General features: G+C 37.1%; 1 protein-coding gene and 1 non-coding gene across 2 annotated transcripts in view; both read left to right on the top strand.

Moving 5' to 3' along the window:
* Positions 1-26,259, top strand: part of EPRS1 (glutamyl-prolyl-tRNA synthetase 1) — a 77,906-nt gene that overhangs the window by 33,169 nt on the left and 18,478 nt on the right. The window contains exons 13-20 of the mRNA NM_004446.3: positions 2,281-2,391; positions 5,999-6,135; positions 7,024-7,231; positions 7,977-8,089; positions 12,082-12,199; positions 15,995-16,354; positions 24,514-24,747; positions 25,933-26,195. Coding sequence (NP_004437.2) covers positions 2,281-2,391; positions 5,999-6,135; positions 7,024-7,231; positions 7,977-8,089; positions 12,082-12,199; positions 15,995-16,354; positions 24,514-24,747; positions 25,933-26,195 — 1,544 coding nt within the window. The remainder of the gene's footprint in view (positions 1-2,280; positions 2,392-5,998; positions 6,136-7,023; positions 7,232-7,976; positions 8,090-12,081; positions 12,200-15,994; positions 16,355-24,513; positions 24,748-25,932; positions 26,196-26,259) is intronic.
* On the top strand, positions 25,723-25,826 carry LOC124904819 (small nucleolar RNA U13). Its single transcript, XR_007067415.1, has one exon. It is a non-coding gene; the product is annotated as a small nucleolar RNA U13 (small nucleolar RNA).

The following is a 26,259-nucleotide window of genomic DNA, read 5'->3' as shown; positions in this document are numbered from 1 at the left end:
TTTTCTCAGCCTGAGTTTTCATCTTGATAGGAAACTAGTACTTTATTTTTCTGTATCATAGTTAAATGGAATATATCTATAAATAGTTTTTTCCTTGATAGTGGTAGGAGACATTTCAAGAGCTTACTTTGCATTAACCTCACTAGTTTTCTTCTAGCTTTTATTTAAGTGTTAAGATTTTAACTTTTCAGTCAAGGCAGAAGAGTCACAGGTTTAAGATGTTCATTTTAGAGCTGTTGTCAATCTCTATGAACCCTTATTGACTGCTTTAGTTTTAAAATGTATGTATTTCAGTAGTATAATATAATTTTTCCCAACTCTCATCTCAACCCCTTGCATCTGTTCTCAGCTAATAAAGTATGTAGAGACTTCTCTCCCCACTCCACAAATCAGGAGACTTCCTTCCAGTGAAAGTTTTCTTGAAAATTAAACCCCAATAAATAAAACAAAAACATAGCTGTTCTGGTTGAAGTATGTGAAGGGGATCTGGAGGCCCTCTGGTCCTTCCCCCTTCACTTAGTGCTACCAGAATTAAACCCCAATAAATAAAACAAAAACTTAGCTGTTCTGGTTGAAGTATATGAAGGGGATCTGGAGGCCCTCTGGTCCTTCCACCTCCACTTAGTGCTACCAGGGCACCTCTTTGAAATATTTAGGACTCTTTGGAGTAATTTGAAAACCACTGATCCAGAGACTTTTAGAATTGCATATTTTTAGAGCTAAAAATACCTTTTAAGTCTTTGAATCCAAGTTTCCCAAATATGCCTGATCCTAACCATCCTATGGAATGCTTGTTAAAAATTAGATTTCTGAAATTTACTTCAGACCAAGTTGTCTCAGAATCTGTGCTAACAACTGCCCCAAGTGGTGATTAAAATTAGTCAAGTATAGGAAACATCCTGCTCCTTTTGGCAGCGGAGGAAACAGCTGCAATGAACTAAGTTTCTTAGGCGGGGTTGTCTAGTTTTAGTTTTTTTAAAGAAATTATGTCTTACTGACTTAAATACTGAACTGAGTAGTCAGTCACGAATTAAATCTTTGATTATTCCAGCCCAGTAGAAGCTGAAAGGAGAAATCCTTAGCTAGTAAGAATGAACTTTAAGCCTCAAGGAAGGAATGAAACAGTAAACTTGAAAAAGGCTGGTACTGATTTAGTATTAGCATGAAATATAAGCAGATGAGGATTAGCAGATGAGGAGAAGTTAAATAGCTTTTCAAACTTTGCGTGAATGACCTCTCTGAGGATGGCTTCCTCTCTGAGTTCATTCAGAATTTCCACGATATCATTCTTTTTAGAAGCTGAAAACTACCTTCAACACTGACAAAAAAAACCAACCCAATAATGGCAACAATGGAAAAATAAAAACAAATTTAATTATACCACTGTTTTCTGCATTCTTCTAATGAGAAAAAATAACTTCCATTACTTAGCTGTTTGACTCTGCTTTCATCTACATTTTTCTCACATGTGCTTTATATATAGTGTCTAAACATTGCTCTTGTGATTGGTCATCATGACTAATTTTACACTGAACAGTGAAGTGAGAAAAATACATCAGCTCCAGAAGGGGATGCTACTGATGATTTGGAAGTAGAATAGGTTAGAGCATAATGTGTATGACCATTTATTGAGGCAATCTGCAAATATTTATTGATTACCTATATGAGACAGACCCTAGCTAGGTACTGGGAATATACTGAGAATATACTGGTCTATATATACTGGCCTCTACATATAGCATGTAAACCAGTAGAAATGTCATTTATACTTTTAATCTATAGAATTGCCTTATTATAGTGACCGAATGCTATTCTGCTTTTGATGGTGATGTGTTACCCTAACACTGATTAAAGAAAACAATACTGAAACAAAAATATCCATATTCTCTTAAAATGGGCTTGTCCAAACTATAAAATTGAATATCACATTTACCTTTAGGATTAAGATATAACCCCACTGGAAAACTTTTCCTTGCCTTCTAATACCAGATTTTAAAATTATTTTCAAAATAACTCTAATATTATGCTTTAATTGGTTTCTTTTCACCTGCCAGTAGCTATTCTTGTGAAAGAAGTCTAAATCCTTCATGTAGTCTTGGTTTACAGTTGTTCTCTTTTTTCTGCTTAATGGTAAATATCAGAAAAGAGTTAACAGTTGAAAAAAAATTAGTAAATGCAGTAACAAGAAAGCCAGTTAGTATTCCTGTGCTATTATTTATTTTGCTTATGGCGCTCTATAAGATATCGCAGTGTTTTAACATGAGGATGTATTTGTTGCAGGTTATTGACCCAGTGGCTCCACGATATGTTGCATTACTGAAGAAAGAAGTGATCCCAGTGAATGTACCTGAAGCTCAGGAGGAGATGAAAGAAGTAGCCAAACACCCAAAGGTCACTCTTACAGTTTCACCAATGTGTTTCTCTCTGTTAAAAGAAGGAGCAGGAAATAAAAAGGAAAATGTGCTTTCATGGCAGTGGCATGATTTTGAGATGATTTTCTTTCTTTCTTTCTTTTTTTTTTTTTTTTTGAGACGTAGTCTTGCTATGTCTCCAGGCTGGAGTGCAGTGGGGCGATCTCGGCTCACTGCAACCCCTGCCTCCCGGGTTCACGCCATTCTCCTGCCTCAGCCTCCTGAGTAGCTGGAATTACAGGTGCCCCCCACTACGCCTAGCTAATTTTCGTATTTTTAGTGGAGATGGGGTTTCACCATGTTGGCCAGGTTGGTCTCAATCTCCTGACCTCGTGATCTGCCTGCGTCGGCCTCCCAAAGTGCTGGAATTACAGGCGTGAGCCACTGCGCCAGGCTGAGATGATTTTCTATTCAACATTGTCAGGATTTGATACTAATCGAAGTAAATCTTTTTTGGATTTTTTGCCTTAAAAAAGTTTATTTTAGTAACAATCCATAGTACATCACACAGAACTGTTATGCTCAGTTGGTGCTTATTTTTTATTGTGTAGAGTTAGCATATTAGTGTGTAATAAGAATTTATCTCTTCCTAGAGTAATCCTGAAAGATGAGTTATAATTCAAGCTCCTATCTTTATATGGAATCTGAAGTGCATTCTCTATTAACTAGGGTATTCCCTGTCACCTTTGTCTTTAAGCCAAAACATTAGACCTACTACTGTTGAATCACAGCTTGACTTCAGAGTCTCTTACACTGTCATTTCCTCTGTTTGGAAAGTATAAGTGAAGGGTCCATCTAAATTCTGAATAGAATTTTTTTTTTTTTTTTTTTTGAGACAGTTGCGCTTTGTGGCCCAGGTTGGAGTGCAGTGGCATGATTCTGGCTCACTGCAACTTCTGCCTCCCGGCTTCAAGTGATTCTCATGCCTTAGCCTCCTGAGTAGCTTGGATTACAGATGTGCGCCACTACACCCAGCAATGTTTGTATTTTTAGTAGAGATGGGGTTTTGCCATGTTGGCGGCCAGGCTGGTCTTGAACTCCTGGCCTCAAATGATCTGCTTGCCTCATCCTCCCAAAATACTGGGATTATAGGCATGAGCCACTGTGCCCAGCCCTGAATAGAAATCTTAAATACAAGTACCATAGAGTACTTTTTTGTTAAGCTGTGGTCATCCCAGATCCTTATGACTGCTTAGTTGACAATTTTGAAGCAAAACAAGATTTTTTTTTTTTCTTAATTTTGAAATGGGCCTTGCTCTGGTGCTCAGGCTGGAGTGCAGTGGCCTGATCTCAGCTCACTGCATCCTCTATCTTGGTCTCAAGTGATCCTTCCACCTCAGCATCCTGAATACCTGGGACTACAGGTTCATGCCACCATATCTGGCTCATTTTTGTACTTTTTTGTAGAGACAGGTTTAGACCATGTTGCCAAGGCTGGTATTTATAGAGGCAGGGTTTCACCATGTTGCCCAGGCTGGTAAAAGAGTTGTTTTATTTCAGCTTTACAAGTTGTCTATAAATAACTTTATTATATACTGAAAATTACGTTCACAGACTAACGCATATACTAGTAGCCAAGCTTATAACTGTGTTCGTAGACTAACTCACATATAAGATGATGTGCATTGCAAAGAGCTATACATATTCTAAATTGTAGCTTTATATGATTGTCTTCCCATGTATGTCATTATCTACTTTTTAATTTTAAAGATTTGAATCCTAATAAGATTTGGGGTGCGCGTTTAGTTGATTGGTTTGGCTTTGTCTTTCTTTATATCTGATTGTTTTGACCAGGTAAGTAGTAGTATCTGACCTGCCATATCACCTACCATACAGTTAGTATAAATCTGAAGCATATTGAATATTTTAAAATTTGAATCTTGAGAATAAAAGTTTTGAAGGGTGCTTATTTTTTAAAATGACAGTTGTGGTCTGATAGTTTAGATTAAATTGCTAGGTTGGTGGCTTATGCCTGTAATCCTAGCACTTTGAGAGGTGGAGGTGGGAAGATCATTTGAGGCCAGGAGTTCAAGACCAGCCTGGTCAACATAGCAAGACTCTGTCTCTACGAAAAATAAAAAAATTAACCAGGCATTATGGTTCATGCTTATAATCTCAGAGGTAGGTGGATCACTTGAGCTCAGGAGTTCAAGGCTGCAGCGAGCTGTGACTATACCACTGCACTCCAGCCTGGGTGACTGATCAAAGCCCTACCTCAAATAAAATTTAAAAAATTAAATTACTAAGTACTGCTCATTGTTAAAAATAAGAACTAATTGTTAAGGAAGCACACTCTTAAATTGTGACTGGATTACTCAGTTTGCTCTGTGGAATTTTCATTATAACATTTCCGTCGCAAAGTATTTTTTATTTAGCCTGTCAGTATTCTATTCTGAGCTTAGTATGTTATCTGTTGTTAAAACATACTGATTTTTCTGAAATGCATTGGTGAGTTCATTGAACAGTTGTTAAACACATGCTGGTTAATGTTTATTTCAAAAGATCTTCTTACTTTTTTTTTTTAATTCTGCCAAATAAAAACTGAAATTATGGCGTTCTTTTTATTCTCCGCATCTCTTTTTCTTTCCATATCATACACACTAGAAAGGCAGAAAATTTACTTATCTATATCTATATAGATAATACTTTCTTTAAAGTTTGTCTTCTAAAATCTGAAAGGTCCATAATTTCCTGCTAAGGTGGCATCTGTTGTCCTATAATGTCCCATAGCCACTGCTCAAGAATGACTTATTTTCTCCTTTGCTGCAGAAGCAGTGAGATTCTTTTATCTTTTTTTTTTTTTTTTTTTTTTTTTTTTGGTGACGGAGTCTCGCTCTGTTGCCCAGGCTGGAGTGCCGTGATGCAATCTCGGCTCACTGCAGCCTCTGCCTCCCAGGTTCAAGTGATTCTCCTGCCTCAGCCTCCCAAGTAGCTGGGACTACAGGTGCATGCCACCACGCCCAGTTAACTTTCTGTATTTTTAGTAGAGACGGGGTTTCACCGTGTTAGCCAGGATGATCTCGATCTCCTGACCTCGTGATCTGCTCACCTCAGCTGGGATTACAGGCGTAAGCCACCATGCCCAGCGAAGCAGTGGCCACCCAAAGTGCTGGGATTACAGGTGTGAGCCACCATGCCCGGCGAAGCAGTGGGATTCTAAGGATAGGAAACAGATTCTAGTTGAAGAGATACTAAATGATAAAGTATACTGTCTTAGCTGTGAAATCAATGAGTCTTGTAGGCTGGAAGTAATCTTAGGGGCAAGCTACCTCATCTAATTCCATTAACATTAGTGGTCAGGTTGCTGATCTGATGTCACAGAGCTGGAATTCAAACTATTGATTTCTATTGAGGCCGAGTATGTATTGTTTAAATGCTAAGAACAGAATTGGGAATATGTTTATGTTAAAATACATAGATGGAGAAAGAGTAAAGCATTTTCTTCCTAATACAGCAATGAACTGCTAACAGTTTAGTAACACAGAAGACTTTTGTATGGTTAAAGAATAGAATGAATGTATAAATTTGCATACTGGGTTCAATAAGTTGTTGTTTCAACAGACACTCTGCTTTTCTTTATCAATCAGAATCCTGAGGTTGGCTTGAAGCCTGTGTGGTATAGTCCCAAAGTTTTCATTGAAGGTGCTGATGCAGAGACTTTTTCGGAGGGTGAGATGGTTACATTTATAAATTGGGGCAACCTCAACATTACAAAAATACACAAGTAAGAACTTTTTGTTTGTTTTCAAATAAACATAGGAGAAAAGTATTTTATTTGTGTTTACTTATTAAACATTACCAAATTCAGACCCATACATGTTGCTGACTAGTAAATCTGCCCAGACATAGCTACTGCAAATTCTGGACACAAGTTAAATTTTTTTCCATATATCTTTCAGTTTACTAACAGGCTATCAAGATGTCTTTTATTTGTGGTGTTGAAAATTACTACATCTGGATATAAAAAATAGTTGTAATGCTTTAATGAGAAATTACATGATAAAAAGGGACTCTATACAGTTGCATGACATGGGGATCTTTTAGACAGAATTTATATGTATAACATAATCTTTTTACTAAAATTTACTTTAAAACTGATTGGTTAATAATTAATTTGACTTTCTAGTTACTATAGTGTGCTACACTTAGGAATATGATCTTCAGATTCTATAAATGAAACATAGTATGCTTAAGACTGATTTATGCAAACTCTGAAATCTTAATTGCGTAGTTATTACATATGATTGCAAGTAACTGCCAAATGTTTTTAAACATAGTAATTCAAATTTTATAATGCTTGATGCAGGTGACTTTAAGTTAATAAATATATACATGTTCCTCATCAATTGTATGTGAATCTGTTCTCTAGTTGATTATTAGTATCTCGATGTCAGTGATTATGTTGTATTTATTAACCAATATATGTCTGGCATGTTAGAAGCTCAAATAAATGTTTGATTTGGAATTTTTCCAAAGAAAATTTCTTATCCATTTATTACAAAATAAAACAATAAATTATTTTATAATAATATAAAATTATTATAGAACAAAATAATGAATTTATGGCAGCTGTGGTTAATATTTCTTTGAATACTTTTAATCTTATATCTAGAAATGCAGATGGAAAAATCATATCTCTTGATGCAAAGTTGAATTTGGAAAACAAAGACTACAAGAAAACCACTAAGGTCACTTGGCTTGCAGAGACTACACATGCTCTTCCTATTCCAGTAATCTGTGTCACTTATGAGCACTTGATCACAAAGCCAGTGCTAGGAAAAGACGAGGACTTTAAGCAGTATGTCAACAAGAACAGTAAGGTAACCTTCCAAAGAAACCATATTTCACCTTTTAAATTTTCCTTTAGAATTAAAAAAATTAATTTTATATATTTCGGATCCTCAGATAAAATGGATAAGATGTGTAGAATTTTATTTAAATCAAATGATGTAAGTTGGCCGAGCATGGTGGCTCATGCCTGTAATCCTAGCTCTTTGGGAAGCCAAGATGGGTGGATCGCTTGAGCTCAGGAGTTCAAGACCAGCCTGGGCAACATGGTGAAACCCCGTCTCTACAAAAAAAAACAAAAAAAAAAACAAAAAAAAAAACGATGTAAGTAATGTTTCCATTTTATAGATGATAGGAAGTGAAACACAGTGAAGTTGAGTAACTTACCTGAGGACAAACAGTAAATAGTAGAGTTGGGATTCAAATCTGACCCTCGTATTTAAGCCTTACGCCAGCATGCCTTTCACCTAAGTCTATTACATGCTTCTTGCATCATATTTCATATTTATAGCAGGGAAATTATTTCTTCTGGAATGCTAATCAAGTTATTTAAAAGGTTTTTTGAGGCCAGTTTATGAATGTTAACTTTTAAAAATGTGATAAATTGAATTGTCATTTAACACTTCACCGTTTCATTGTGTGTCCTCAAGTAGTGAACTTTTTAACATATCTGTTTAAAATGGGAGTATTTTAGTTAGTGGAAACTGCTTGCATTTTAGAGTTATTTTACTACTATGATTTTGAGAAAGTGTACTTTGGTTTATATCATCTTTACAGCATGAAGAGCTAATGCTAGGGGATCCCTGCCTTAAGGATTTGAAAAAAGGAGATATTATACAACTCCAGAGAAGAGGATTCTTCATATGTGATCAACCTTATGAACCTGTTAGGTAAGTAAATGTAACTGAACGTCTAAATGAAAATGCTTAAAGTTGTTATAGTGAGTAATATTTTAGAAATTGAACTTTCACTAAAATAACGTACCTAACAGTTTTCTTTCTCAGTCTCTCAGTTTTATTTTATATTTAACATTTTAGACAAGTAATTTATTTTAACAAGTGATCTTTGAAACAACACGCACATTGAACATTAATAAATTATTCATTTCTGAAATTAAACCTCTTATAATTAACTTTCCTGTAGCCCAAGTATAAAGAACAAAATTTCAGTCTGTATATTACCTATCTTTGGGTGAAAATTATTACCATTATCTTTTTCTTTGTAGTGTATTTTCACTAGATAAATGGTACAAACAGCATACATTTAGAGGGAAGAAATAACCAGTATTTGTATTTTTTTTTTTAACCATGAAGTAATAGGATTATTAGAAGGAGAACTCTATGTAAATTTTTGTCCCTTTTTTTTCTTTTCTGTTTGTCTCTGCTATTTTTTTAAGTGATATCTCTGTAACTGTGTAGTCAAAACGCCTCTCCTGAGATTTAGTCTTGTGAATCTAACTGCTTTAGATATCTGTGAATAGATTCTTTCAAGCATTTCAAACTCAACGTGTTCAAAATTCCAGGATCTAGGTGTCATCTTTGACTTATGCTTCCCCTTCATCCCTTTTTTCACTCAGCAAACTCTGTCGTTTGTGTTGCCCATCTGGTCCATCTCTGTGGATCCACTGCTCTGCCTTATTTCAGGCTATAACATTGCTTCCTTGATTGCCAAAACAGGCTCTCAGGTATCTCCTTGCCTCCAATTTCATCCTTTTTCTGTTCAGTTTTCACATGCCCACCAGTCTGAAAATTTAAGAGTAACAGTTTTATCACATTTCTCTACTGTTAAAAAATCTCTATTAGTAGGGCAGCCACTATGACTTATGCCTATAATCCCAGCACTTTGCAAGGCTGAGGCAAGAGGATTACTTGAGGCCAGGAGTTCAAGACCAGCCTGGGCAACATAGTGAGACCCCATCTCTACAAAAAATTATAAATAAAGAATTAACCAGGCATGGTGGTACACACCTGTAATCCTCACTGCTCAAGCAGGTGAGGCGGCAGGATTGCTTGAGCCCACAAGTTCAAGGTTACAGTGACCTATAATTGCACCACCACACTCCAGCCTTGGTGACAGAGCAAGACTCTCTCAAAAACAAACAAACATTGTTGTTAGTTTCAGAGTAAAGGCTAAACTTTTGAGTTTGATATGCAAGATTTTTCATGTTACGGCGTCTCTTGAGCCATAGGTGTTGGAGTTTTCTCGCCCTGATCCCTTCTTTTTAACATATGTACCAAATTGCCTGGGGCTTTTCAAAAGCACTTGATGCCTTTTCCTGGAATGGCCTTGTGGCTTTTTCGTCATATGAGTAACCTTATTCATTTTAATATCACATTTCCTTTAGTCACATAAGCTCACGCATGCATACAGTGTAGCATAGTGCCTAATAGTTGCTAAGCCCTCCTTAAGTATTTAGTAATGGTGGTGGTACCACCAACTAAAATAACAGAGTAGGTTCTCATTTTATTCTTAGAAAGTTTTTGAACTTTTCAACAAATAGTGCTAGAAGAACTGAATAGCTACACATGAAAGAGTGAAGTTGGGCACTTTCTCATATCATATACAAAAATTAACTCAACATTTATCAAAGACCTAAATGTAAGAGCTAAAAACTATAAAACTCTTAGAAGAAAACGTGAATGTAAATCTTTGTAACCTTGGCAATGCTGTTTTGGATATAACACCTAAATCACAATCAACCAAAGAAAAAAAATAAATTGGACTTCATCAAGATTAACATATATTGTGTTTCAAAGAAAGTGAAAAGATAAGTCACAGAATGGGAGAAAATATTTGCACATATGTCTCTTAAAGGACTTGTATCCAGAAGAGAACCCAATTAACAATGGATTTAAGTAGACATTTCTTCAAGCAGATGTACAAATGTAAGCACATGAAAAGATGCTCAGCATCATTAGTTGTTAGGGAAATTCAGATGAAAATGACAATGAAATATCATTGCATACCACTAGGATGGCTGAAATAAAAAAAGACAATAACAAGGGTTAGAAATGTGGAGAAATTGGAACCCATATGTATTGCTGGTAGGGTTGTAGAATGGTTCAGCCACTTTGGAAAAACAGTTGGATGATTCCTCCAAAAATTAAACACGGAGTTACCATTTGATCCATCAATTCCATTCCTGCGTATTTGCCAAAGAAAAATAACATGTTCACACAAAAATGTGTACATGAATGTTTACAGCTGCATTATTCATAATTGCCAAAAAGTGGCAATAGATTATTGCTAATTACTATACCCTTTGAAATTGAGAAATTCTTATAAATTATTATTTTTTTAAGAGACAGGGTCTCACTCTCACCCAGACTTGAGTGCAGCGGCTTGACCTCCCCAGGCTCAGGTGATCCTCCCACCTCAGTCTCCTGAGTAGCTGGGGCTACAGATATGTGCCACCACACCTATCTAGTTTGTGTATTTTTTGTAGAGACAGGGTTTCACCATGTTTCCCAGGCTAGTCTTGAACTCCTCGGCTCAAGAGATCCACCTGCCATGGCCCCCCGAAGTGCTGGGATTACAGATGTGAGCCACCATACCCACCCTTAAATATTTTAAAATAAATAAATGTTTTACAGAAATTTTTCTGCTTATAAGCAGATTAGGTGTGGTATGTAGACAAATTTTCTTGAAGTCAAGAGTATCATTAACATTCACTAACGCCCTTTCTAGTGGCAGGCATAGCAGATATAATTTTGCCCTGGACATAGTTTGTTCATATGGACGAAAGTTCATAGATTGGAAGTTTGTAATAAGGACTGTCAATTTTTTTTCTTTTTTTTTTTCCATTGAGGCAGAGTTTCTCTCCTGTTGCCCAGGCTGGAGTGCAATGATGCAGTCTCAGCTCATTGCAATCTCCATCTCCTGGGTTCAAGCGATTCTCCTGCCCCAGCCTCCAAAGTAGCTGGGATTACAGGCGCCCGCCACCATACCTGGCTAAATTTTTGTATTTTTTAAGTAGAGACAGGTTTCACCATGTTGGCCAGGCTAGTCTCGAACTCTTGACCTCAGGTAATCCACCTGCCTTGGCCTCCCAAAGTGCTGGGATTAGAGTCATGAGCCACCACGGCTGACCAATTTTTTTTTTTTCTTTGGAGACAGAATCTCACTCTGTCACGCAGGCTGGAGTGCAGTGGTGTGATCTTGGCTCACTGCAACTTCTGTCTCCCAGGTTCAAGTGATTCTCCTGCCTCAGCCTCTGGAGTAGCTGGGACTACAGGCACCCGCCGCCACGCCTGGCTAATTTTTTGTATTTTAGTAGCGATGGGGTTTCACCGTGTTGCCCAGGCTGGTTTTGAACTCCTGAACTCAGGCAATCCACCCGCCTTGGCCTCTCAAAGTGCCAGTATTATAGGGGTGAGCCACTGCGCCCGGCCAAGACTGTCAATTTTTATTTATGCATTTGTTGTTTGTAAAACTATTCTGAAGAGCCTCTGATTTGAATAGTAAGACAATGGACTATTTTATACTTCAAAAAGCATTAACTGGACAGGTGCAGTGGCTCACACCTGTTATCCCAGCACTTTGGGAGGCTGAGGTGGCCGGATCACTTGAGGTTAGGAGTTCAAGACCAGGCTCTACTAAAAATACAAAAATTAGTGTGGTGGCATGTGGCTGGTAATCCCAGCTACTTACAGGCTGAGGCAGGAGAATCACTTGAACGCAGGAGGTGGAAGCTGCAGTGAGCTTAGATCACATCACTACATTCCAGCCTGGGCGACAGAGTGAGACTGTCTCAAAAAGGAAAGAAAAAAAGAAAGAAAAGCATTAACTTAGTGCCATTGAATTTATCTAGGAATTCAGTGTTTATTGCTGTTCAGATAATTTTGTTCAAATAAACTATTTTGTCCCTTTATTTTCTTTTTAGCCCATATAGTTGCAAGGAAGCCCCGTGTGTTTTGATATACATTCCTGATGGGCACACAAAGGAAATGCCAACATCAGGGTCAAAGGAAAAGACCAAAGTAGAAGCCACAAAAAATGAGGTAATGACTTTTACGGATATGTGTATAAAAATAAATGGTCTTTCTATCCCAGGGTTTAGAATATATTTCTTTACAGATGATTATCTTTCTTACTGTGGAGACTGAAGAAGACAGTTAAGTCTTGCTCTTTGCATTTTGTTGTTATCCTTTCATGTAAGATTTTAAAATCTCACTCTCACCCAAGGCTGGAGTGCTGTGGCGCGATCTGGGCTCACTGCAACCTCCGCCTCCCGGGTTCAAGCAATTCTCATGCCTCAGCCTCCTGAGCAGTTGGGATTACAAGCGTGCACCATGACGCCCGGCTAATTTTTGTATTTTTAGTAGAGACAGGCTTTTGCCATGTTGGCCTGGCTGGTCTTGAACTCCTGACCTCAGGTGAAACTCCCACCTCGGCCTCCCAGAGTGCTGGGATTATAGGCATGAGTCACCGTGCCTGGCCAGACCCCTTATACTCTTAAGAATGATTTGCTTATGTGGGTTATATTTATCAGCATTTATCATACTAAAAATTGAGAAGTTTTAAAAGGATTTAATTCATGTAAAAATAATAAATCCAGTTACATGTTAACATACGAAAAGTTTTTATTAAAAAAAATTTTCCAAAATAAAAATTTTAGTTAAAAGAGCGGTATGGTTTTAAATTTTTACAGATCTCTTTAATATCTGACTTAATAGCTTCTAAAAACCTGTACAAACAGTCATGAGAGAATGAGAGCGAAAAAGACAAAATACATCGTAATATAGTGAAAATAGCTGTGACTTTGCAGATCCCCTTTAAAAGGGTTTTATATACCCCTTGGGGTCTGTGGACCACACCTTGAAAATTGCTACTATATATTATTCAATAACTCATGGAGTAAGCATGAGATGGGAAATTTGGTTGCTTTTCCCTCATTGGTTCCAGTTCCCATCTGTGCCTATCATTTTTTACATATCCTAGAAAGATAACTGGTGTTATGCTATAAGTTAGTATGTGTTCTTGAAAAACTTCATGTTCTGCAAAATCACATACCGAAAATAACAGCCGATTTTTCAAGAAAAACAGAGTTGAGGCAAACCACTAAAAACCTATGTATCCCATGTGGTTTCAGTCAGATGGTGGCTGGGTAGCAGTCATCAAAGACTCAACTGGGCTGTATTCTATTTTTATTTTATTTTATTTGAGACAGAGTATTGCTCTGTTGCCCAGGCTGGAGTGCAGTGGTATGATCTTGGCTCAGTGTAACCTCCACCTCCTGGCTTCAAGCGATTTTCTTGCCTCAGCCTCCCAAGTAGCTGGGACTAAAGTCACGCACCACCATGCCCAGCTAATTTTTTTATATTTTTAGTAGAGATGGGGTTTCGCCATGTTGGCCAGACTGGTCTTGAACTCCTTACCTCAGGTGATCTGCCCACCTCGGCCTCCCAAAGTACTGGGATTATAGGCATGATCCACTGCACCTGGCCTGGGCTGGATTCTAAAATTGTTTCCTCACCTGGATGCCAAGTTGATATTGGTGTTGGCTGGGAGCTCAGGTGGAATAGTTGACTGCAATAGCTGCAAGTGGCCTCTCTAGCATGACAGTGGCAGGGTAATAAGACTTCTTAACTATCATTTAAGGCCTCCAAAAGTGAGTGTCCAGTAGATGAGGTGGGAGTAGCATTGCATTTTAGGATTTAGACTTGTAAGTCTCACATAACATCATTTCTGCTGTACTCTGTTGGTCAAATCAGTAACAAGCTTTCTCAGATTCAGGAAAGGGCACAGAGATCCCCCTTCTTGGTGGGAGGAAAGTCAAAAAATTTGTGGACATGCTTTGAAACCTGCACACTTTTGAATAGAAATTCAATATTCAGGTACAGTTGACTGCCACTTATACCCAACTTTGCAGTCAGAGATCCTTTGCAGCTTTAAACCTGAAGGATAATAATGCTTTTCCCTGTGATGTGTAGATCTTTGAGGATATTTTTCTCCAATAGAGGCTGATACTATCAAAATTAAATTCTCATCCAGGGCTTAATGTTATGGTAAAAAATGTTTTTTAAGCATCATCCTCATTAAAGGAAGGCACTTATATGAAAGGTTTTTGGGTTTTTCTTCAGATTGTCAATGTATTTCTAAAGTTTTCTCTTTAATTATGAAAAGCTTGTTCCTGCATGCTTCTTTATTTGACATAAAACTGGAATACACAGGGAAAAAATCACACACAAGGCAGTGTGATTTTTTTTTTTTTTTTTTTGGTGTTACACTCATATGTTCCCCTGTTTACTAACCATGAATGAGATGATTTATGTTGCAAATTAAATGTAGCAGAACAGGCCAGGCGCAGTGGCTTAAGCTTGTAATCCCAGCACTTTGGGAGGCCGAGGTGGACAGATCACGAGGCCAGGAGATTGAGACCATCCTGGCCAACATGGTGAAACCCTGTCTGTACTAAAAATGTAAAAATTAGCTGGGTGTGGTGGTGCAGGCCTGTAATCCCAGCTACTTGGGAGGTTGAGGAACAGTAATCACTTGAACCCGGGAGGCGGAGGTTTCAGTGAGCTGAGATCACACCACTGGACTCCAGCCTGGCGGCAGAGCAAGACACTGTCTCAAAAAAAAAAAAAATGTAGCTGAACAAATATATATTTTTGATATAGGGTGGCTACATGAATTGTATTATTTATTTAATGTATATGCATTTATATATGCATATTAGTGTTTGAGTGTACATATAGAATCTCACTAAAAATAAATATGAGTGATTTAAGGAATTATGGGGAAGGAATTTTGAGCGATGGGTTTTTTTTACTGACATGCCCACTTTGAGAGCCTAACGCCTGTGTAAAATGCAACTCTGATACAGCTTGAGATGCCTGTTAAGTGTCTAGGTAAAGATGTCTTGAAGACATTGAAAATGCTGGGTCTGGGATCAGGACAGAATTCTGGAATAGAGATGAAAATTTTTGGAATTTGTACATAAGACTGTGAATATGGATAAGATTATTCTGAAAAATTAAGTGGCAGATCATTTAAAAGAAAAAAGCTGAAAGAAAGGTATAATGTGAGCTGGGTTTTAATGTTAGAAGGGTTTCAGTAGGGAAGAATGCAGTCTAGGCAGCAGAAAGCATGAATAAAAATAGTATCTTTATTCACTCTTCAGGGTTGATTTTAGTGAACATAGCTCTAGATTTTATACACAAATAGATACCTGTAAATTTATAATTTTACACAAATGAAACTGTTCCACAACAATGAGTTACAATTATATCACAGAGTTTGATGGAGCTCTTGCCTTATCAACAATCTAGATGTATTTCATCTCTAAAAAAATTAATAGTGATACCTAATGCTTATTGATATTCACTTTTTCTCAGCCTTTGTGACTAAGGGCTTTACACAGATTACTTTTTATTTTCCCATCAACTTGATGGGTTAAGTATGGTTATCCCCCTTTTATAGTAAGGAAACAGCTTAAAATAACTCAAAGTTGCACAGTGAGTATGTGGTAGAGCAGTGATTTATTCTCAAACTTGATGGATATGTTATAATTTCTTTAGTCCCCTAATGACAAAGATTTAGGGTATTTTCAGGTTTTTACTATAGTAAAAATGCTTCAGTGAGTATGTAGGTACCTCTATCTTTGTTTACGCCTGTCATTTTTCATTAGGATAAATACTTAGGAGATTATTCATTTAAGCTTTTTAAGGGATTGAAGTTTAAAGTTTCTGTTTTTAATTGGAAACATTATAAAACAATCAGTTTGAAATAATTTTGTGGGAAAACATTTAATATGAATTAATTATTTTACTTTTGGTTTTCTCTCTTGGTAGACCTCTGCTCCTTTTAAGGAAAGACCAACACCTTCTCTGAATAATAATTGTACTACATCTGAGGATTCCTTGGTCCTTTACAATAGAGTGGCTGTTCAAGGAGATGTGGTTCGTGAATTAAAAGCCAAGAAAGCACCAAAGGAAGATGTAGATGCAGCTGTAAAACAGCTTTTGTCTTTGAAAGCTGAATATAAGGAGAAAACTGGCCAGGAATATAAACCTGGAAACCCTCCTGCTGAAATAGGACAGAATATTTCTTCTAATTCCTCAGCAAGTATTCTGGAAAGTAAATCTCTGTATGATGAAGTTGCTGCACAAGGGGAGGTGGTTCGTAAGCTAAAAGCTGAAAAATCCCCTAAGGTCAGTATGTTAGAGAAAGTCAAGACCACATTTTCAGTGTGTGAATTCAAACTGCTTAGAGTAGTCTCATCTTCTTATAAAACATCGACTGCTCATATTTTGATGTAATAATCAACATTGATTGATACCTGCTATGTGCCAAGCTCTGAAAATATATATAAGAAGCTCATAATCTAGTGGAGGGGTGACTTACTGGGGAAGGAAACATACAGACTCAGTGTACTCTTATGTGATGTGACTGTAATCCTTTGTGATATGTATAAGTTGCTATGTAAAGGGTTTGTGTTCTTAAGTGGCAACAAAGGTGGAAACCATTTATAAAGGATATTTAAAATCATCCTGAAGTAGAAGCAGCCATTATGGGGGAACAAAGATCACAACAAGGCACTCTTTAAGTGTGGAACCATGGTTCTCAAGCTTTACTGTGCACCAGAATTACTGGCTTGGTAAAACATGGATTGCTAGGCCCTGCCCTTTGACTTTCTTCTGCAGTAGATTCAGAGCACGTGGAGAATACGCATTTCTAAAATGTTTCTCAGGTGATGCAGATGCTACTGTCCCAGGGACCATGCTTTGAGAACTCCTGGTGTAGAGGACAGTACCAGCAGAGGTAGAGGTCAGCAGGTACAAGGTGTATTCAAGGAATAACAAATGGATTGTCAAGAGGTTTTTGACCTGTGATTATCTCCAGCTTTTCATAGCAGAGCCTTCAAATTATATGACATTTTGACTGAAGTATAAATTATATTCTTGTTTCAGTATGTCCTTAGGCAAAACATTTAGCCAAGTAGGTGTGGCACCTAGTGTGAAATGGGCTTACTTGATGTAGGTAAGAGACAAAGGGAATGGCATCTGTATAGACTGTGAAAGATCGTATTTAATAATGAAGGTATGTAGTTCTCCTCAAACAGCAGCATAGTTTAAGACATGATCAGATAAATAGTACTGCAACGAAAAACAATTCAGCCCCTGATGAGCTGCCAGAAATTGTAGAATTTAGGCTGTGGCACATACACAGAGAGGTATGGTACACCACTAGGCTTGACTTGTGTGGCGGGAAGGGGATTTGTTCTAAAATGTCAGATCTGTTGTCCTGTCAGGGTCCTAGGCTCAGGCTGGAGAATTCAGTAAGTTCTTCACCTTATCAACAAGTTGCTGGCATCTGACATGAAACACTGCCACCTAAGATACTTTGATTCATGAATATTTGACCTCATATTTTGAGGTCTTGCCCCAGGAGTTAATATTTTTCTGTCTCTCCATTGTGAACTGTTGAGAAATCCTTTATTAGGTCAGTGCAAAAGTAATTGCGGTTCTTACCATTACTTTTAATGGCAAAAACCACAGTTACTTTTGCAGCAGCCTAAATAGCCTGTTGAGATCCCGCAGAACCATGATTATCTAAAACAGCTTTGCTTCAAGGAATAAATGCTGCTGGATGTATGAGTTTAGGATATAAATTCCAGATGTTTCTTACCTCATGGGGAGGTTGGGAGCATTTTGCACTGTATCTGTTGGACACTAAATATGTACTCCTTTTTAGGTGTAATTTGGAGGGAAGGGCTTTGGTCTTCAAATTTATTCATTGTATAAGTAGAATATATTGAGATTCTGTGCCAATTTTTGGTCAGCTTAATTATGGGTGGAATAGTAACAGAAGCAACCGTTGTACTTGGAGTGACAGTCAACTATGAATCCATCACCCATCCTTTTGGGTTAATGGGTTACATCATGCTTTCATAAAATATCACTGTTGAGGTTATGAAAAGTCAGCTTAAGGTAAAAAGATCTAAATTTCTTTGGTAATTGGGCAGGTACTTTTATTAGGTATTTTAATACTAATGTGATACTGAAATAAATCTGACTTCAGTTTAGTCTGACTTACATTTATTGAATGCCTACTGTATACCATGTCTGTGTTTCAAAATATAGTAAGTCTTAATATTGTTCATAGGTTCTTGGAAACTGAGACTTTAAGCAAAATGGTGCATAACAACAATAGGCTAATTGAGATAAACAAGAAATTAAGTAGGCCAGGTGCGGTGGCTCATGCCTGTAATCCCAGCACTTTGGGAGGCCGAGGTGGGCAGATCATAAGGTCAGGAGATCGAGACCATCCTTGCTAACACAGTGAAACCCTGTCTCTACTAAAAATGCAAAAAATTAGCTGGGTGTGGTGGCGGGTGCCTGTAGTCCCAGCTACTTGGGAGGCTGAGGCAGGAGAATGGCATGAACCCAGGAGGGAAAGCTTGGAGTGAGCTGAGATATTGTGCCACTGTACTCCAGCCTGGGCAACAGCAAGACTCTATCTCAAAAAAAAAAAAAAAAAAAAAAAAAAAAAAGAAGAAGTTACCACGGCATATTTCTGATCTCAAAAACATCGCATTACACAAACTTCTTGTGTTTTTTTATTGTTGTTGTTGTCTTCATTTTTTCTTTTTCTTTTTTAATATTTTGTCTTTTCTTTTTAAAATTATTATTTTTGCATTACACAGACCTCTAATAAAGACCCAAACACTTCTAATTGAAACAAATGTGAGCTGTATATACATTTAAGAAAGATGAATAAAGACAAGATAATTATTTACCCATTTATTCTAGTTCAGGGTTTTGGGTGGCCAGAGCCCATCCTTGTAGCTCAGGGCTCAAGGCAGGAACCAGCCCTGGATAAGACATCATTCCATTGCAGGGCACACTCACACACACTGACACTCAGACCGGGAGCATTTAGACTCACCAGTTCACCTAATGTGTGCAGCTTTGGGATGTGGAATGAAACTGGAGTTCCCAGAGAAAACTCACACAGACATGGGGAGAATGCACATGCTCCACACAGACAGTGGCTTCGGCTGGGGATCATGTTTTTTTTCTCTAAAACGTTATGATGAAATGACATCAAACAAAACAATGTTATTCAAGGACCTGCTGTACTCCGTATATTTTTTCTCCGAATGCTAATAGTAGTAAATGTTTCTTCTCTTCTAAAGAACGAACCCAGTTACTAGGAATGGAACGCATTTAGCCTGCATCTGGCACTGTGTACTATACACTTTTTAGTCCTCCCAAGAGCCATGTACAAAAATATTCAAAGAATGCTACTTTTTCTATTTGCTTGTTATAGCAACAGAGGAGAAACTGAATATGAAAGTAACTTCCTGAAATTTGCAAAGCCTAGATTAAAATATTGACCGATTCCCATGTTATTTACCTTGAGAGGTGGTGACAGTGGGGTACTCCATTGAAAGCGCTAGAGAGTTATAGTTTTACTAGCTTATCATTATTTAGCAAGTCTGTGCTTGTTTTACATTAATAATTTGCCTAAGCTTCTTAACTATTCAGTTTTCTACAAAGGTGGTTATTTTACTATGTCATGTTAAATGGTAAGGAAGGTGACCAGCTGAAGTTTTAGGTTACCAGCTTCAACTAGACTTTTCTTGCTCTGTTTTTTGTTTTGTTTTTAATCTTCTCTTTCCTGCTTCAGGATCAGATAGATGCTTCTATGAAAGAACTTTTAAGTGTAAAGGCAAAGTATAAGCAAAAAGACGGGCAAGTAATAAAAACTTGAAGTCCATCAAGTCTACCATCTTTTGCTCCTCTTATTCTTTTTCTCCTGCTCAGTAGGTTGCTGCATAAAATAATGGATCAAGTTGGTGTAGTGTGAGGTGCATAACAGAGAATACACCAAAGATATAATAACACTGAATACTAAGTTACTTTAAAAACTAAAGCACTTTAAAACAATTTTTTTTTTTTTGAGACAGGGTCTTGCTCTGTTGCCCAGGCTGGAGTGCAGTGGCTTGATCATGGTTCACTGCAGCCTCGACCTCCCAAGCAATCCTCTCATCTCAGTCTCCTAAGTAGCTGGAAGTACAGGCACATGCCAGTATGCCTGGCTAATTTTTGTATTGCTCATAGAGACGGGGTTTCACTGTGTTAACAAGGCTGGTCTTGAACTTCTATACTCAAGCTGTCCGCCCTCCTTGACCTCTCAAAGTGTTGGGATTACTGATGTGAGCTGCTGGGCCTGGCCGTACGCCTGTTCTTTGTAAATGAATTTTTTTTTTGAGACGGAGTCTTGCTCTGTCACCCAGGCTGGAGTGCAATGGTGAGATCTTGGCGCCTCCGCCTCCTGGGTTCAAGCAATTCTCCTGCCTCAGCCTCCCAAGTAGCTGGGATTACAGGCGCGTGCCACGACACCTGGCTAATTTTGTATTTTGTTTTTAGTAGAGACAGGGTTTTACCATGTTAGGCTGGTCTCGAACTCCTGACCTCAGGTGATCCACCCGCCTCGGCCTCCCAAAGTGCTGGGATTACAGGCGTGAGCCACTACACCCGGCCTGTAAATGAAGTTTTATTGGAATACAGCCACACTCATGGTGTACATATCGTCTATGGCTGCTTTCATGCTACAGTTAGAGTTGAATAGTTGCAACCAAGACTCACATAGTCTAAAATATTTATTATATAGCCCTTTATAGAAAAAGTTTGCTGATCCCTCCATGGAAGAAAGAGTTTTGAGAACCATTGTAGTTAACAGTTGTTTAAAAATCAAGTAACAACAAAATAAAATGATTATTAAATAAAAATAATTCACAATTGTTTTGTCACTAATGTTCTCTCTCTATGCCATACCCAGTCTATGTGGAGGGGAGTTGAATCACCATTTGCTTCTGTAGTTGCAGCATTTTAATTCACGGCACCTTGTATTTTATGTCCCCAATAATTCATCTTGCCAATCTTTGCTCTTTTATTTTTTACACCAATGTTATTGTTTTTTAAAACCCAAACCACAGTTTATCAGGAAAGGACATACATCCCTGTACCCTTTTGTCCATTAAGCAGGTTGTTCTAGGAAGCCGCCACCCTGCACTCTCACCCCAGATAGCTTTAAGATGTCTCAGGCCAAAAGATAAATGTTGCAGGGAAGGAAACAAGAAAAAAGCCTATCTTTTTCTTGATGTTGTTTGTAATTCTTATTTGGGATGTGTGTAGTGAATTCCAGCTATATCTATTTAGTACTTAATGCAAAATTGATTTTGATCTAAACAAATATAAATACATCTTACATCAGATTATGGTTCAGGATACTTCACAAGACTTACATCAGCTTGGGGATCTTCTGGAAAATCTTCAGAATTTGTGTTAATTGATTTGTATCAGAGAAAAATAGCAGGTAAATTGTGATTTAGGTAAACGAATCAGCCCAGTTGATAAGCAGGAGAACAGGTGTTGTGTTCTAATTTAGGTTTGATGTCAGGATCTCGGCTCTACCCTGTGCTGTATTGGCTCCTAGAATCAGGTTTCAGTAATCGGTTATTCCTTACAGGTGTAGGTATTTAAGCTATGCACAACTGGTTAATTATTTTCTTAAAATGCCTCTCTTTGCAACCTGTGAACTTCTAGTTTACTTAGTCTCCTAGCAGACTTTAAAAAATATAATACAAGCATCATCACTCTCTTCCCTCACTCAGTTGGAAGGATTTTCTGTTCTGATTACCTTTCATTCATCCCCCTCCCAACCAAGTGAGAATCTCTGCTTTCAGGAGTCATCATTACCAACGTGTGTAGATATAGTTCTCTTAGATATGCTAGTAAGGAGCAAAGGTGAGTGGTAATAAAATTGGAAAAAACAAGTTTGAAAAAAGTATTTTTTGAAAAAAGTTTTTTCATTTAGAATCGAGATATCCAGGCTATTTTGAAAGGTTCTAGTATTTCAAATGGATAATGTTCCAGGTTTTTTTTTTTTTTTTTTTTTAAGGTCACTCCTTTCCCCATGGAGAAATGTTTCCATCTAGTGGCTGCTGAAAAAATAGCTGTTTGAGTACTCATTCTGAATGTAATCAGAATGTAATAAAAAAAAATTGTCCATTTTCTCCATTTTATTTAACTTTCCAGTTTTTAGTCATAACATTAGCATCACTTTTACTTATTTCCAATTCCCATCTTAAACCTTTACCAAAGTCTTTTGTATAGGTTGTTTCTTTTCTCATTAATCCACATCAGCAATTATTTGCTGAAAACCTTTTCTGTTTGTATTGGTATATGTTAGGTAAGTTTAAAACAGTCTTTGTCCACTAACAACTTAAAATCTACTAGCAATGCTCTCTCAGCTTCTGCTGTTGTATGATATTGTACTAAATCATAGTATACCACCCAATTCCTCTTTGTAAATGCCTTTTGATCCAGAAAACTAGTATATTAAGAGATAATTTGTTCTCCATCCATTTGTTCTTCATTGTGTATTCTAAGAGATAAATTCAAAGTAATAGTCAAACATCTCTTTCGAAAAGCAGTTTTCCTAGCATGTTACTAGGATTAAAATGCACATTTAGATCTTTGTTTTCTGTAATCCTTAGCAAACCGTAGTGGTCAAGATCACAGCCTCTGGAATAAACTCGGGATTCAAATACTAGCTCTACTACTTATTGTGTAACTCTGGGGAAGGAACTTAATCTTTCTAAACTTGACAACTTCTCTAAGGGTTGTTTTGAGAGTTAAATAAGATACCACGTAAAGCACTTAGTGTAGTGTCTGGCACAGACTAAATATACCATAAAATGATAATGATACTTTTCATATTATAATTCAAATTCTCTCAAGAATCTTTAGGTACCTTCTAAATCATCAGGGAAGATTGCATAGTGGTGATTAGTATAATTTTACTCTTTTTGGAAGAATAACCTGAGTAATTTACTTAGTTATCTAGAATATTCCATTTCCTAATGGGAGGGGAAATATATGAATACATAGCTTTATTAAGAGTATCTCATTGAATAACAGAGTGGTTTGCTCACCTTAATTTTCTCCTTTATAACGTTTCAAATTATAATCTTGGCGAACGGGGTTTTTTTTTTTTTTTTCCGTGTGAAAAGTGTGCCATCTGACTTTAAGCTCTAATGAATACCTGCTTATAGTGTAAAATGGAGCTTCTTTCAAATAGTCATCAAATAGTCATTTTTCTAGAAATAGTTGCAGGGAAGTTCCTTCTTTTCCATTTTTATTTTAGCTGGTGGAAATTTCCCTTTTTTCCCCCCTTGATTCTCATATGTCTGATTAACTTGGCCGTTTTTCTTGAGATAAAGTAGTTTCTGCTGTGAAAACTCTTTCCTAAAAACAGAATAAACAAGAGACACAACAGGAGTACAAATCAGACAATCTACTCTCATCTTCTCTTTGTACATTTTCTCTTAATTTTACTACCTTTGTGTGGTACCTGGTATGACACTCTAATAGGCAGAAAACGTTATAAAGTAGCTGGACAAGGAAATGTGCTTTGCTGCCTCATAGATGCAAATTTTGTGAAGGTATACCATTGGTATCCTGCATTCCTCTGATGCCCATTTGAGTATTCTTCATGGCTTCTGCCTGGTTTCATTTAGCTATCTGGAGCATTATTCGAATGTAGCAGTAAAAATTGGATAGGGTGATTTGGAGACACTTTTCCTATCTATTTTGATTGATACCTCCAAGTTCCCAGTGGTACACTGGTTTGTGGTGAGATAGTAGCACCATTTCAGGTAAGGTGTCCAGCTTGGGCCCTTTGCCTGTGTTGCTATCATTCTCTGCTAGAGAGTCACAAGTGTCTCGGTGGGGCTGAGTATATCATTCTTTTTTATTATTATGTTGAAGTATCAGATTAAAATATATAGGTAAGTGTCTAAAAACTTCAACATGCTTTCTCATCTCATTGTCAGTTTTTAAAATTGATATAACTATTCATTAGTTGGACCCAAACTTCCTTTTTTTCCCCAAAGTTGTATTTAATTTCTGTTTAATAAGCTGTGGAAAGTAAGGTTTGTATAGGCAAAGCCATTGATCTGATCTTTGTTCTGATTTTGTAAATTCTGACTTCACTATTTATAGACCTAGGTCTTGACACTGACAGTTTACTTAGATGTTCTATTATTTGTCTGTTTACTTAAGTAAAATAGAAAGTTACACTGTTGTATGTTGAATTGTATTTTTGTTTATTCAGCTTATATATAATTTATGTTTTTAATTTAGCTTTATCACTTATTGTAGGCTGATGATTTAACATAGGTTTCCCCATGATTAACTTATGGGAATGATTTGCTGATAATTAAAGATTTTTAAATGGCATTGAAATTTCCAGAAATTTCCAAAGTTTTATAAATATCTCTTTCTCTCTTTTATTTTAGGCTAAAATAAATGAAGCTGTAGAATGCTTACTGTCCCTGAAGGCTCAGTATAAAGAAAAAACTGGGAAGGAGTACATACCTGGTCAGCCCCCATTATCTCAAAGTTCGGATTCAAGCCCAACCAGAAATTCTGAACCTGCTGGTTTAGAAACACCAGAAGCGAAAGTACTTTTTGACAAAGTAGCTTCTCAAGGGGAAGTAGTTCGGAAACTTAAAACTGAAAAAGCCCCTAAGGTTAGTGTGTTATTTTGTTTATATGCTTTTGTTTTTTATGTTTCAGGGTATTGTCTTTGCCTCAAGTGTTTTGTGCCCCATCAAATCTGGCTAACTTCTACTCATATTTCAGTTCTTAATTCTCTTACCTTGCCTTTTAGAGAAACTTTGTTGATTGTTTCTTACGCCAACTAGATTTGATTGGATGTTTTCATATGACACCGCCCATCACTGACATAGTACTTAAACAGACTGTATTTTAATTGTTAAATTGTTTGTTTCCCTCCAACCTGTAAGATCCAGAATAGTGACCTAGACCCTAGCACAGTGCTCACCCCATTGAAGGCCCTTAATATTTACCTTGTTTTTCATTCTTTCTCCTAAAGCTCTGTCAAACTGAAATAGTAGGTTTTATTTTGAGCTCTTAGTAGTTTGTGCTAGTTCTTTAAGTGTGAATTCTGTTATCTTTTTAGGAGTAGGTTTTTCTGTACAGATTCACATGAGTGGAAGACAGTTGTAGTTTTGAAATTTAACTTTATTAGAACTTGATAACCATTATCTCATCTTTATAATTGTGAAATGTTCAACTTATGTAATTTAATGGCTCTTAACTTAGATTCCTATGGAATACATGTTAGATACCAGTGCTTTCTAGTAGAACTTTCTGCAGTGATGGAAATATGCTATAACAATATTGTCTAATACAGTAGTCATTAGCCACATGTGGCTATTGAGCATTTGAAATGTGATTGTGGTGACTGAGGAAGTGAATTTTTAATTTTATTTACTTTAAATTAAATTCAGCCACATGACTACTATTTGGATAATGCAGTTATAGACTGTGCTGTTTTCCAGTCACAGTTTTGCACAATTCTATCCCTGTTTATCATAATCTTTATAATTTCAATAGTTGGTGTAACACCTACCCCAAACCCCTCTGTCCCCAAACCCCTGTCTTTAATTGTGTTTGCAGATCTACTTTTAAACTTTGGACAGATCCTTTTGTAGTTCCTAAGTGTGATGGTTGGGTTTTCACACTCATATGTGAGATATGCCTCCCTCAAACCTTATCACCACCTGGGCACATTCCCCGTGTGATATTGGCGGAAAAAAGAAAGCTTTGAGCATTGTATTTGTTTAAGTGTGCTTAGACAATGACTTGAGTTAAATACTGTCTTCTCTTTTTCCTCTTTTGTTAAACTAAAGGATCAAGTAGATATAGCTGTTCAAGAACTCCTTCAGCTAAAGGCACAGTACAAGTCTTTGATAGGAGTAGAGTATAAGCCTGTGTCGGCCACTGGAGCTGAGGACAAAGATAAGAAGAAGAAAGAAAAAGAAAATAAATCTGAAAAGCAGAATAAGCCTCAGAAACAAAATGATGGCCAAAGGAAAGACCCTTCTAAAAACCAAGGAGGTGGGCTCTCATCAAGTGGAGCAGGAGAAGGGCAGGGGCCTAAGAAACAGACCAGGTAATGAATCGCAGAAACTTCATTTGAAGCAAAGCAGTGAATTAATTCAATTCTTAATAGTTTT

Source organism: Homo sapiens, chromosome 1 (assembly GCF_000001405.40).
Source record: "Homo sapiens chromosome 1, GRCh38.p14 Primary Assembly".
Classification (NCBI taxonomy): Eukaryota; Metazoa; Chordata; class Mammalia; order Primates; family Hominidae; genus Homo; species Homo sapiens.
The sequence above is the reverse complement of the archived record's forward strand: the minus strand, read 5'-3'. Positions and strand labels throughout refer to the sequence as shown.